This window comes from Homo sapiens, chromosome 2 (assembly GCF_000001405.40).
Source record: "Homo sapiens chromosome 2, GRCh38.p14 Primary Assembly".
Taxonomy (NCBI): domain Eukaryota; kingdom Metazoa; phylum Chordata; class Mammalia; order Primates; family Hominidae; genus Homo; species Homo sapiens.
This window is the reverse complement of record NC_000002.12, coordinates 200,026,260-200,039,306: the sequence shown is the minus strand read 5'-3', so window position 1 is coordinate 200,039,306 and position 13,047 is coordinate 200,026,260. Positions and strand designations below refer to the sequence as shown.

Sequence of the window (13,047 nt, the reverse complement as noted above, 5' to 3'; positions counted from 1 at the left end):
GTCATTTAGTCTGCCTAGACTTAAAAAGACATCAAATACAAATAAATTCTGGGAAATAAATCAACTTTAGGCCTTTTTTTTACTGCTGAAGGCTTAAATTAATTCCCAAAAAGGCTAATTACGTCTTTCTTTGCTCAGTAGTTGGGCTTAATAATAAGCACCAAACATATGGCAGAGATTGGGCTGCAGAATCCATCATGGCCTTCTGTTCAGCAGCAAGGGGAGGTCTTAAAGGAAATTACATACAGAAAGCTTGTACGTGTTAAACATTGTAGTACCCATTATTGCTGGAAACAATAACTGCTAACCTGGCTTCTAAATTTCTTTCAATTCACTAGTAATCAAAGAAGTGTAATGTGAAATATAAGTTGAGCATCCCTAATCTGAAAATCCACAATTCTGTATGCTCCAAAATCGAAAGCTTTTTGAGTGCTGGCAGGACACCACAAGTGGAAAATTTCACACTTGACCTCATGTGGTGGGTCCCAGAAAACACTGTCAAAAGTTCGTTTCATGCACAAAATTATTTAAAATATTGTACAAAACTATGCTCAGGCTCTGTGTACAAGGTGTATATGAAACACAAATGAATTTCATGTGTAGACTTGGGTTCCGTCCCCAAGATATCTCATTATGTATTTGTAAATATTCCAAAATCCAAAACAATCCAAAATCCAGAATATTTCCGGTCCCAAGCATTTCAGATAAAAGATACTCAACCTGTACACTAATAATCTATTTTTATTTTTTGTTGTTTTGTTGTGTTTTTTGAGACTGGGTCTTGCTCTTTTGTCCAGGCTGGAGTGCAGTGGTGTGATCATAGCTCACTGTAGCCTTGAAATCTTGGGCTCAAGCGAGTCCCCCACCTCAGCCTCCCATGTAGCTAGGACTACAGGCACACACCACCATGCCTAGCTAATAATAATAATAATAATAATAATAACACTTTTGTAGAGATGAGGTCTCCCTATGTTGCTATGTTGCCCAGGCTGTTTTGAACTCCTGGCCTCAAGTGATCCTCCTGACTTGGTCTCCCAAAAGACAGGGATTATAGGCAGGACTGACCTCTGAACCCAGGCACTAAGGCTCCCAAGCACACCCACCCATTTCCAGCCTCTATTTTTCAACTATCAGATTAATAGTGATTTTTAAATAATGATAATACTGGGGATAATTTGATAAAATAAGTATATTTATACCTTATGTTGAGAGTCTAAATTTGGACAATCTTTCTGAACAGCAATTTTAAAACGAAAGGTAAAAAGGTTACAAGTATTTACTCAGATGTTTTGATCCAGTCACTTTATTCCTAGAAATCTCTCTGAAGGAAATAGTATAAACCATAGACAGAATGTTAATTGTAACATTGTTTATAACACCAAAATATGCAACGAGAGAATGATTTTTAAACTATATACATCTACCATATTCTATGGCACATTATGCAGCCATTAAAAATTATGTTGACAAATATTTTCAAAGGCAGAGGGGAAGTGAAAATAGGATACAGAACAATGGATACACCATGACTTTGACTGTGTAAAATAATATATCACACACATATTGGAGATAAAAACATATTACTTTTAAAACTGCAGCAGTCAACCAGGTGTGGTGGCTCACGCCTGTAATACCAGCACTTTTGAAGGCCGAGGCCGGAGAATTGCTTGAGCCCAGGAGTTTGAGACCAACCTGAGCAACATAGCGAGACCCCTTTTCTACAAAAATATTTAAAAATTAGCCAAGTGTGGAAGCATGTGCTTGTGGTCACAGCTACTTGGGAGGCTGAGATGGGAGGTTGTTTGAGCCCAGGAGTTCAAGGTGCAGTGAGCTGTGTTCATACCAATGCACTCCAGCCTGGGTGACAGAGCAAGACCTTGTCTCAAACACACACAGACACACACACACACACACACACACACACACACACACACACACACACACACACACACACACACACACACCAGCAGCAGTTTCTGTATTCCAGGGAAAAAGTGGAAACTTGTGTGTCTTAGGGGTTTGGGGGAGAGAAAATGCCTAGACAGCTGGCGTGCGCGCACACACACACACACCAGCAGCAGTTTCTGTATTCCAGGGAAAAAGTGGAAACTTGTGTGTCTTAGGAGCTTGGAGGAGGAGAAAATGCCTAGGCAGCTGCCCTTGGGGAAGCTCTGAAGTAGCAGAATAATCCAAAGCCAATTGTCAAAAGTATTCTATTGAATATTACTAAAGTCAACCTGTATTGGCAGTGTCAACCTCTGCAAGCTCCTCCATGCATTCACATCACAGTATTTATGGAGCCCTCATTATGGGTCAAAGCACTGGGCCAGGAGAAGGGAGACTGTAACAAGCAACATAGACACAATTCCTGCCTTCACAGAGCTTATAGTCTGACTCGGTTGTCATCATCATGCTGTCTACTGATACTATTTCCTTGGTAGTAGCAACCAGTCGAGATTTCAGAAAAGAGATGTCCAGTAAGATATGTGTGGCTGATGAACACCAGACACAGCAATGTCAGATACCCAGTTGTAGTTCCCTTTCCCACACTGAAATTCCCTCGTATGACCCTCAAGACATTTAAGGCCTGTTAAACAGGGCCAGGCACAGTAGCTCACACCTGTAATCCCAGCACTTTGGAAGGCTGAGGTGGGAGAATTGCTTGAGCCCAGAAGTTTGAGATCAGCCTAGGCAACATAGTGAGACCCTGTCTCCAAAAAAATTAAAAAATTAGCCGGGCATGGTGGCTTGCACCTGTGTTCTCAGCTACTTGGGAAGCTGAGGTGGGAGGATCACTTGAGCCCAGGAGTTTGAGGTTGCAATGAGTTATGATCTTCCACTGCACTCCAGCCTGGGTGACAGAGTGAGAACCTGTCTCTAAAGTAAAATAAAATAAGTTTGTTAAACAGGACTGCCTGTGCTAGCTGAGCTATGGGGAATAATAGGAGGGCAAGTCCCCACACTCTTCAGCAGAGCAGGTGTAAGGAAGCAGCAGGACCCTGGAGAAGACCCTCAAGAGGTGCTGAGTCAGAAGACAGGGCAGTCCAGAGCAAGGGGGGAGGACAGGAGCCAAGATGGGCTGGTGCGATGTGCAGCCTTACCCCAAGGACTCTCAGAAATAGATAAGGGACTGGCCCTCCTTCATTCACCATGAGTGGAGTACGTGTCATTATTGTTGTAACATTAAAGGAAAGGCTGGAAAACATATGAAGGATCTCTAGAGCACACAGAAAGGGAAAGAGATAGCTATAAAATCATGGAAAGAAATATACCAAATATGCCCAGGGGTAATTGGGTCCTAGACGGATTCATTCTTTCATCATTTTACATATATTATTATCACATGCACAAAATGTCGTTTCAAATGCACCTGCTCTCACCACACTCATGTCACACATGGATTTTTCTCCTACTCTGTATCTTCCTTCTTCTTTCTCATTGTTTTTTTCTTTTTCTTCCCTTCCTTCCTTTCCTCCTTTCCCTGCTTGCTCTCATCTCAGGTGTTGTCTTTCAGCTGCAGGTATAGCAACCTCTTTCTGTCATGACCTATCTTTGGGGTTAAAATAATGACATTGATCTTGCACTGTTCTAATCATTTCATGTGTATCAACTCCTTGAATCTATACAACAATCCTACTTGGTAGTAAGGTCACTATCCCCATTTAGCAAATTAGGAAACTGAAATCCAGAGATGTTAACCAACCTGCCCGGACACACTGGTAAAAAGCAGGACTGAGCTCTGAACCTGGACACTGAGGCTCCCAAGCACACCCATCCAAGCCACCTCGCTGCACAGCTCCGGGAAAGCATAGAGGCCACCAACTACAACTCCTGCCCCAAGACTGCTCAGCATCTCAGCTTTTATATGAAATTGAGGGCACAATGGCTGGGGTCCTGAGCCCAGTTATTTCACAAGTGGTGCGACACAAATACAGCTTAGTGCCTTAGAGTCCTATCAGGTAGCCATCATGCCACACCCTCACGGACAGAAAGGCAGGTCACAGGATTTCACTACTTAGCCGTGTGATCCTGGATATGTTCCTAAAGCTTTCTGAGCCTTGTTTTTCAATCCACAAAACGGGTATCCAGTCGCTACCTCATTAGACAGTATTGTATATTCTTACCACAATACCTAGCACATAGTAAGTTCTTAATAGCAGTAGCTATTTTTCCCACCAGTCATTGGCAAACTGCTTGTTAGAGGATTCATTTGTCCTTATGTAGCTTATACTCTAAATGGTACACACCAGGGGCTCAGCAAACTACAGCCCACAGGTTAAATTTGGTTGACTGTTTTTGTAAATAAAGTTTTATTGAAACACAACCATACACATTTGTTTACATATTTATTATCTTTTCATGTTATAATAGCAGAATTGGCTAGTTACAACAGAAACCATTTTCTTTAGGTCTGCAAAGCTTAAAATATTTATTCTTTGGTTCTTTACTGAAAAAGTTGGTCAACTCCTGCTATAGACAGATGTACTTACTAGATGAAGTATCAAAACAAATACACAATCCAGTAGTTTGTCAGATTTTAGATAGATACTTCTGTTTGCTATTTGATTTTATTGGGAGCTAAAGTGGGAAGGTTTATTTTCTAGGCAAACACAGTAAACACCTAACATAGAAATTAAAAAGTCATAATCTTTTAAAAAATCACAAATATACAAAGTCATTTGGCAAGATGTAAAATAGGTTTCAAATTCCCCACATCATTTGTCCTTTCATGTGTCATTTCAGCTCTGCTACTGAAGGCTTCTTTCCTAGGCACTGATACTCTTATTAGGAAGGCAATAATATATGGTTCAGCTCTTTCGTTCATATGTTTAGGGTATCATCTGCCTTGCCCTGAGATGAATCAAAATGCAACATTACAGGGGCTAGAATGGTGGAAGTTATGGCTTCCAGAATAAAACAGCAGCCTAGTGATCTATAGAGTGTCTCCAAAGGATATTAAATTAATCAGCCAAGGATTATTGTGTATTTTTCCGGAACATCTGTGGGCTCTTTCTTTAGGGTGTTTTGAATGGGGTTTCTATTATGAGATTGTGGCAGGGAGAGCACTGTTATTGTCATACAGATGGCATGTGGAGAGAGACTCCGGATGGGCAACAGGGACTCAAAATTCAGAAATACAGTGGATCCTCTGGGAATATGAATACATGCTCGCTCAGAGAAGGGCTCTCTGCTTTGTTTAGAGAAGGCTTAAGTTGGTAGGAATGGAAAATTTGTTTTCCCTAGTGTGCTCTCTCAGAATCAAACAGCAGCCAAAAATCCCAGAAGGAAAAAATGAGATTTCTCTTCAGAAAGATAATTGACTAGGAGGAGGGTTAGACCAGAAATTGATGGCAATTGTACATAGTTACCAAGAAAGTGAGAGATTCCTCCCAAATTAAAGTTCATATGGGGCAACAAAGATCAAAGATCCTAACCAACCAGGGACTCGGGGGAGTGCAGTTTGGAGGCAAAGAAATGACTATGGAGAAGTGGAAACAATTTAGTTTAATGTAAAAAACTGTCGTGTCTCTCGTATCCATCAAATTAGTTGTGACAAAAATTACTTTTCAAGGAGGGTACTTAACTAGAAAGGCATAATATCAGAATTTGATTCGACAATACTGCACATAGAAACAGCAGCGAATGCTGACACTGGAGTCGGAGAAAGAACAGGGAGTTTGGATGGAGACAGACCTGAATGTGATGCTCAGATCTACCACTCAACATTACAGAAGCTCAAACAAATTGGCCAGGCGCGGTGGCTCGCACCTGTAATCCTAGCACTTTGGGAGGCCGAGGCGGGCGGATCATGAGGTCAAGAGATCGAGACCGTCCTGGCTAACACGGTGAAACCCCGTCTCTACTAAAAATACAAAAAATTAACCAGACATGGTGGTGGGCGCCTGTAGTCCCAGCTACTCGGGAGGCTGAGGCAGGAGAATGACGTGAACTCAGGAGGCGGAGTTTGCAGTGAGCCGAGATGTTGCTACTGCACTCCAGCCTGGGTGACAGAGCAAGACTCTGTCTCAAAATAAATAAATAAATAAATAAATTACTTCCCCCTCCCCCAGAAAACCTCCCTCTCCTCACTTTCTGCATCAGTCAGGCCTTATAGTCTACTCTGTTGAGAAAATGGCAACCGTTAGACATGACCTCATGCTGTCTGGGTCTCCCCCCAACTTCAAGCTTATCTACATCCACACCTTTGCATGCCTGTGTTCTTCCAGATGGAGTGCCCCTCCTCTTGCTCTCTTCAAGGCCACCTGTGTTCCTTGACCTTCTTTCCTGCCACCTCCTCTAAAATCCCTGGCTCTCCAATCTCTTCCTCCCTACCCCACTCCCCATTAACATTGAACAAATATTCCCCATCTCTCCCCTAAAATTTCCTGACCCTGCATTTACCTCCTAATTCCAGAGAAACTTTTCTGAATATTCTCTGGATGTTGTCTTAATTTCAATAATTATTATTTTTAATATATTTCCAGGTTATTCACTGTATTTTTGTATTTATGCTATAAAGTCTTAAAAATTAGGGAGTAGTGTGTGTTCAATTCCCAGTTCTACCACTTACTGGCTGGGTAAACATTAACACCTACTTTTCCTCCTGTGTCTGTTGGTTTCCTTGTCTGTACATTTGAGATAATAGTACCTACTTTGACTTCAGGACTGAGAAAATACAGACCAGTGAACAGTCACTATAAACTCAACTAATATATTGCACACACACACAAAAAAAAAGAGAGAGAGAGAGACAGAAAACTATTTCTGGTGTATATATTTGTGTAGGAAGATACTTTTTGGAGATTGCATTTAAAAAATACAATAAACTTTCTCCCTTTGTTGACATGATTTGACTTTTTCCTTGTGAATTCATTCTCTCCCTTCCTCTCCTCTTGAAACCACTTCTCCTTGGATAACGGCATATTTTTAATAAAGCTAGTTCTCCACCAGGGTAAGGAAAGGAGGTAGGTTGGGCCTGTTAAAATGATCTGAGGTCTCACACTCTTTCTCAATTTCATTACCAGAAATTCTAAGGTGTGGCATGGTGGCTCATATCTCTAATCTTGGCACTTTGGGAGGCCTAGTTGGGAGGATCACTAGTGGCCAGGAGCTTGAGACCTGCCTGGGCAACATAGCAAGACTCCCAAGTCTATAAAAAATAAAAATTTTAAAATTTTAAATTAAAAAGAAAAGAAATTCTAATTCAGTAAATCCAGAGCGAGCCCTGAGGAATTTGTGATTTGAAAAGATTCTTTAGGTGATTCAAATATTTACTTTTTTCATGTCACTCTGACTCCCAAATGAAAATCTGTGTTTGAACGTAGGCAGGTACTTCAGGCCAGGTCTGGAATCATTCACAAGACTCCTGGTGCCACAGCCACAGGCCTCTTCACTTGTGTTAGCTGTGTGCCTCTGGGAAACTAGATGCATCGATGACAGCCTGACTCTATCAGGCGCCTTCTAGTCTTTCTAAGGAGTCAACGCAGTGTTTTTGGCTGGGTCAGGTGTGAAATTGGAAACATTCTTTGAGAGATCCTGTTCAGATTTCTATGTTAATTCAGTGTTTTCATGTCTAATTTCCCACTCTGATGCGATTATACATATGTAATCCATGTTGACAAGTTCTGACCCTCAGATTCCAGCAAAATCTCCACCATGTATTTCTGAGAGTTCTTAGAGAGGACTCATTAGTGATTCTGATATTTTAATTCTCTCTATCTGCCCCATCTTCCCTCCCCTGGGTGCTGCCATGTTCACCAAACTCTCCTGAACCTATTGGGCCTGCTGAGGTTTCCCCAGGACACTCTTGTCTCTGTCCCCTCTGCTGGGTGCCTGAGCTGAACACCACAACTGCTTTGGCCATACCACCAGCCCAACAGGCTTTGCTGTCCCCACTCCTTGCCCCTAACCTAGCAAATCTCAGGCTTCCAGTGTTGATTCAAGGGGACCCTGACTGCCAGACTGCTGTTGGGAAATGGGAGAAAATGTCTCTCTCCCCTTTTTAGTGTGAGACACTCTTAAAGGAACTGATCAATGTGACCTTCTTAATCCACATACAAGATATTAGAAATAATTTTTCAGTAGTGATATTAGTGGTATTCAAGATGTGTGCTTGGCTAGATTTTGATGAGGATATTTGAAATATTTTCTCAGCCATTTCTGGAGTATGGATTGAAGATTAGGGAATTTCAAATGTTAATTGACTAATACGCTACACTGTAAATACAGGTTAAAATTAACTTAAATACACATATATCACATTGTTCATTCTGAACTGTTTCAAAGTAAAATCCCACAGACGATATAGCAAGCTCAGACATATTTCTAGTAGAGACCTGGATGAGAAGATAAATTCAATAGATAAACACTAACCAGAATTGCCCTTTGCATCCATATTTAAGAATTAGTAACTTGGCATGGTGGCTTATGCCTGTAATCCCAGCACTTTGGGAGGCCGAGGGAGGTGGATAACTTGAGGCCAGGAGTTTGAGACCAGCCTGGCAAACATGGTGAAACCCCGTCTCTACTAAAAATACAAAAATTAGCCAGGCGTGGTGGCACATCCCTGTAACCTCAGCTACTCAGGAGGCTGAGGCGCAAGAATGGCTTAAACTTGGGAGGCAGAGGTTGCAGTGAGCCAAGATCATGCCACTGCACTCCAACCTGGGTGACAGAGTGAGACTCTGTCTCAATAATAATAATAATAATTAGTAAGTTGGTCTAGAGTATACAGCCTGACTCTTTCTTCTAAAATGAATTTGTTTTCTCTCAGGAATGTCCTTAGACTCATTTAACTGGACTCTGGGTGGTCCATTCAACATCTTCCCAGATAGACCCAGACCCAGCATTCCATCTACATGTAGCCCTTGAAATTTTGCTACTGTACTACTCCTTTCTTTTCAGTCAGATTTCTTTTCACTCAGTAATTGGACTGACCCCTTCTCTTTCTCTTTTAAGAGTTGTTGATCACATTTGGAGTTCAATGACACTACTGTTTTGCTTTACTGTTGGAAGTTGGGAGAGACTAATTACTCATTCCTCCTTATTTATCAGTTCCAACCAATTTATAAATAGACTCAAGGAGTCAAGTTAGGAACAAAGTGCAGTACTGGCAAAGTTGATTTGGGTAGCGTGCAGAGATACTCTACCTTTTACTCCAGGTTGAACTTACCCACCACTGAGATTAAAAAGCTGGAAAAACATAGACCTTCTCAGCAGCTGAAAATCTAAGGCAACTATAAAATATCAGGCTGTATAGAGCCGTTCCATCTGAAGTCAAGCAAGTCCAAGAGAAGAAAAACAAGCGAGGCATTTAGCACAAGCCATTGGCACATTAGACCCATCCAGTAGTGACCCAATGAACATCTGCTTCTCACCAATATCCTACTTCAGAATGTTGAGGTATGACCAAGGGGATATGAGGAGTAGGGTCCCCCTCTCCATGTACTCTAGAGCATGTTCATCACCTCCCTTTCTTCCATACCCACTGTCCTTGGCTCAAGGACAAAATCGAGTTTTCAAGAAGACCTAAGGGGTCTTCTGTTCTAAAGGAATAGAAATTTCAGGAGCAGCAATATGGAATTAAACTCCTTCTTTTTGGTTCTCTCCATCTTTCTTTCTTCCTAGGCAGCTGGAGGGTATTTGGGGTTAAGTAAGGGGCTCCTGCTTGAGAAGTTCTTCTCTTGAAGGTCTAATAGACAATGGGGTGGGGCCCAGGAGAAAAAGGGCCTGGAGCTAGCCTTCAGTCCTGCCTATCTGGACCTTAAGTTAATGGGGGTAAACAGAGTCTGTAAATTTTCCATGTCTGTCCACTCCACCAGGATTAGAAATTAAAGAGACTTGGACCTAAAACATAAGTGAATATTTAAAAGTTAGCATTTGCCAGTAATAATAACTTAGATGGACATGCCTACAGAACCACGTGGAAGCATCCCAGGTAGGCATTCAGAGTAGGAGGAGCCCAGTCATCAACCTGCTTTTCTTGGAGACCAGCATTTGACCACAGATGAGCCTTGTCTAAAGCACATGTGTAAGTTTCCAAATATATCCAGCATTAGCATTAACCCCAACTGTATTATCATAGGATGATGACTTGTTCTTCAGCCAAGATTGTGGGCCATTTTCATCTCTGCACACTCATGTAAAAACAGTGGGGTTTGGACACATGCTTGACTGCTCCTAACACAAATACTAGCCACTATTTTGGAAACCTGACAGTTGCTTTTCAGATTCTTTTCTAGTGGCCTAATGTTACAGTCTTAGAGAAACTTATTAAGGAATGATTACCTCATTTGAGTCTTTAATAGTCTTCAACCTCTTTTTATAGATATTGACTTGCAACTCCCTCATAGAAGTATCATAATATGATTATGTTCCTTAAGTCCAACAGCTGCCCTTTACCATCAAGAAAACTGAGGCCTAGAACATTGGTGCATTACCTTCTTAAAGATCTCAGTTGACTTATCTGATTTATTTCAAATTTCCCCAAGCTATGAAGTTTGGTTCTATTGTGACATTGTTATCTTGGAGTCTACACAAATTTTCATTTTGGATGTGTGAAATTCTGCCTATTAGTCACTTCTTTTGAAAGGTGGAGAGTAGAAAGAAAGGGAGAAGAAGCAAATTTATTGCTGATTATAAATTGAGTCCTGCTTAATAAAATCCATATTCTGGCTTCATAAACTTTCTGCTAAAAGTCCTAATTAGCAGCAGATGGTTTTGAGATTCAGGAGACAAATTTACTTTCCAAATTCCCATTAGAAATTAGTTGGAATCCTTGATTTTTATCTTTTTCTTTTGCTTGTTTGAATTTCTAACTTTTCCATAGAGAACATGAATTACATGAATAATTTAAACTGTTGTATAAAAGCTACTAAATACTGTGAACAAGTTCAAACATTTGAAAATGTTAACCCCATAAGAGGACTGTCTGTATAGAAGAGATGCCCCGCACTGAATCTGAATACAGCCTTGGAATTATTTTTTAAAGTTCTATCATTTGCAGAACTATCATACTGCAGTTATATACTATATACATATAGCTTTAAAGCTAGGTCTGTTGGGCTAATATGGCAGTGTGAATTCATTTTTGAAAAGTCACTGTGCTCCAAACAAATGCAATGGTACAATAATGGATAAAATACAGAAACATACAAAAAGAGTACCAAGAAGTTCAACTGGCCTGAAAGGTGATATTAGTATCTTATCATAGAAGATACTAATTTAGCCATGGCCTAGTCATGGAAGAATTTTTGTTTTACTATCTGTATTTTTTTAATTAATGTTCTCAATTTGAGATAATTATAAATTCACATGCAATTGTAATAAATAATACAGAGAGATCTTGTGTAGTCCTTATCCAGTTTCCCACAATATAATACCTTGCGTAACTATAGTGCAATGTCACAAGCAGGCAATTGGCATTGATACAATCCACCGATCTTATTCATGTCATGAGTTTTACATGCACTGATCTGTGTATGTATTGAATTCTGTGCAATTTTGTATTGCACATATAGGTTCACAGAGTCACCACTACCTCAAGTTACAGAAAAGATCCGTGCCCTTAAGGATTCCCTGTGCTGCTGCTCTTTTTTTTTTTTTTTTTTTTTGAGGCAGAGTCTCACTCCGTCACCCAGGCTAGAGTGCAGTGGCACGATCTCGGCTTACTGCAAGCCCCGCCTCGTGGGTTCATGCCATTCTCCTGCCTCAGCCTCTCGAGAAGCTGGGACTACAGGTGCTCGCCACCACACCCAAAAAATACTAATTTTTTGTATTTTTAGTAGAGACGAGGTTTCACCATGTTAGCCAGGATGGTCTCGATCTCCCGACCTCTTGTTCCACCTGCCTTGGCCTCCCAGAGTGCTGGGATTACAGGCGTGAGCCCCCGTGCCTGGCCTGCTGCTGCTCTTTTATAACCATAACTCCTGCCTGCCTCCCCTATCCCTATTCTCTGGCAACCACTGATCTGTTGTTCTCCATCTCTAAAATTTGGTCACTTCAAGACTGTTAAAAAAATAGAAGAATCATGCAGTATGTAAACTTCTGGGGTTAGCTTTTTAAACTCAGCACAATTCACTTGAGATCCATCCAAGTTGCATGGATCAATTTCTCTTTATTGCTGAGTAGTATTTCATGGTATGGATATACCACAGTGTATTCACTCACTCACTAAAGAATATCTGAGTTGCTTCTAGTGTTTGGCTATTACTAATAAGCTGCTATGAACATCTGTGTACATGTTTTCTGTGGATGTAAGTTTTATTTCTCTGGGATAAATGCCCAAGTTTTTTTTAATCTCCAAAAATAAAAGCATAATAAGATGAAATCATGTACGTCATACGGTTTTCACATCTGGCCTGTGAGTCTGGCTCAAACAAATGTACTCACGCTAGAGATGAAGAAACTGGAATTGTCAAAATGATTTGCCAGAGTTATTCTGAATGTAAACTTAAAGCTAGAATTCTTTCTCAGTGAAAGCCTTGTTTATTCTTTAAGGCAGCCCTTTTAGAAGGGAAAGTCACTTTGTACCTTGAAACATAATATCTGCTACCTCTGAGGTCTACCCAGATGTTTGGCATCCAGGATTTTTCATGTTAGTTTAGGTACTTATGTCTAAAATAGCCAAATTCTGTGCACGTTTAAATGTCTATGATTCTGAAAATTGATCCCTATGTCTATTCTCTTAATGAAGAGAGCAGTTTGGTGACCGCAGACAATCAGGAATGCATTAGCACCAACTGGGGAAGAGCAGGAAGTCTACAACCCTCTCAGCTGAAGCTAACTAGCAGCTAGAAATTCTTTCTCCCCATAAGCTGGAAAACAGCTGTCCCAGAAAACTGTTCCTCCAAAGGAGGAATTACTTACACCCTTTTTTTTTTAATGGAAGAGATCATGGCCTGGCCAAATGCAAGGCCATGTCAAGCGTCTGTTCATTCACAAAGGGCGAACTGAGTATCCTCAACATCCAACTGGCAATAGCTTGAAAAAACAAAACCGGAAACCAAGAACCAACAAACCCTAAGCTTCATTATAGCCTTTTTTGAC

The 13,047-nt window shown here is 40.8% G+C and overlaps 1 long non-coding RNA gene across 2 annotated transcripts in view; it reads left to right on the top strand.

The window, feature by feature from the left end:
• The window catches only part of LOC124906112 (uncharacterized), a 204,201-nt gene that overhangs the window by 135,491 nt on the left and 55,663 nt on the right, over window positions 1-13,047 (top strand). The gene's annotated exons all lie outside the window — the stretch shown is intronic.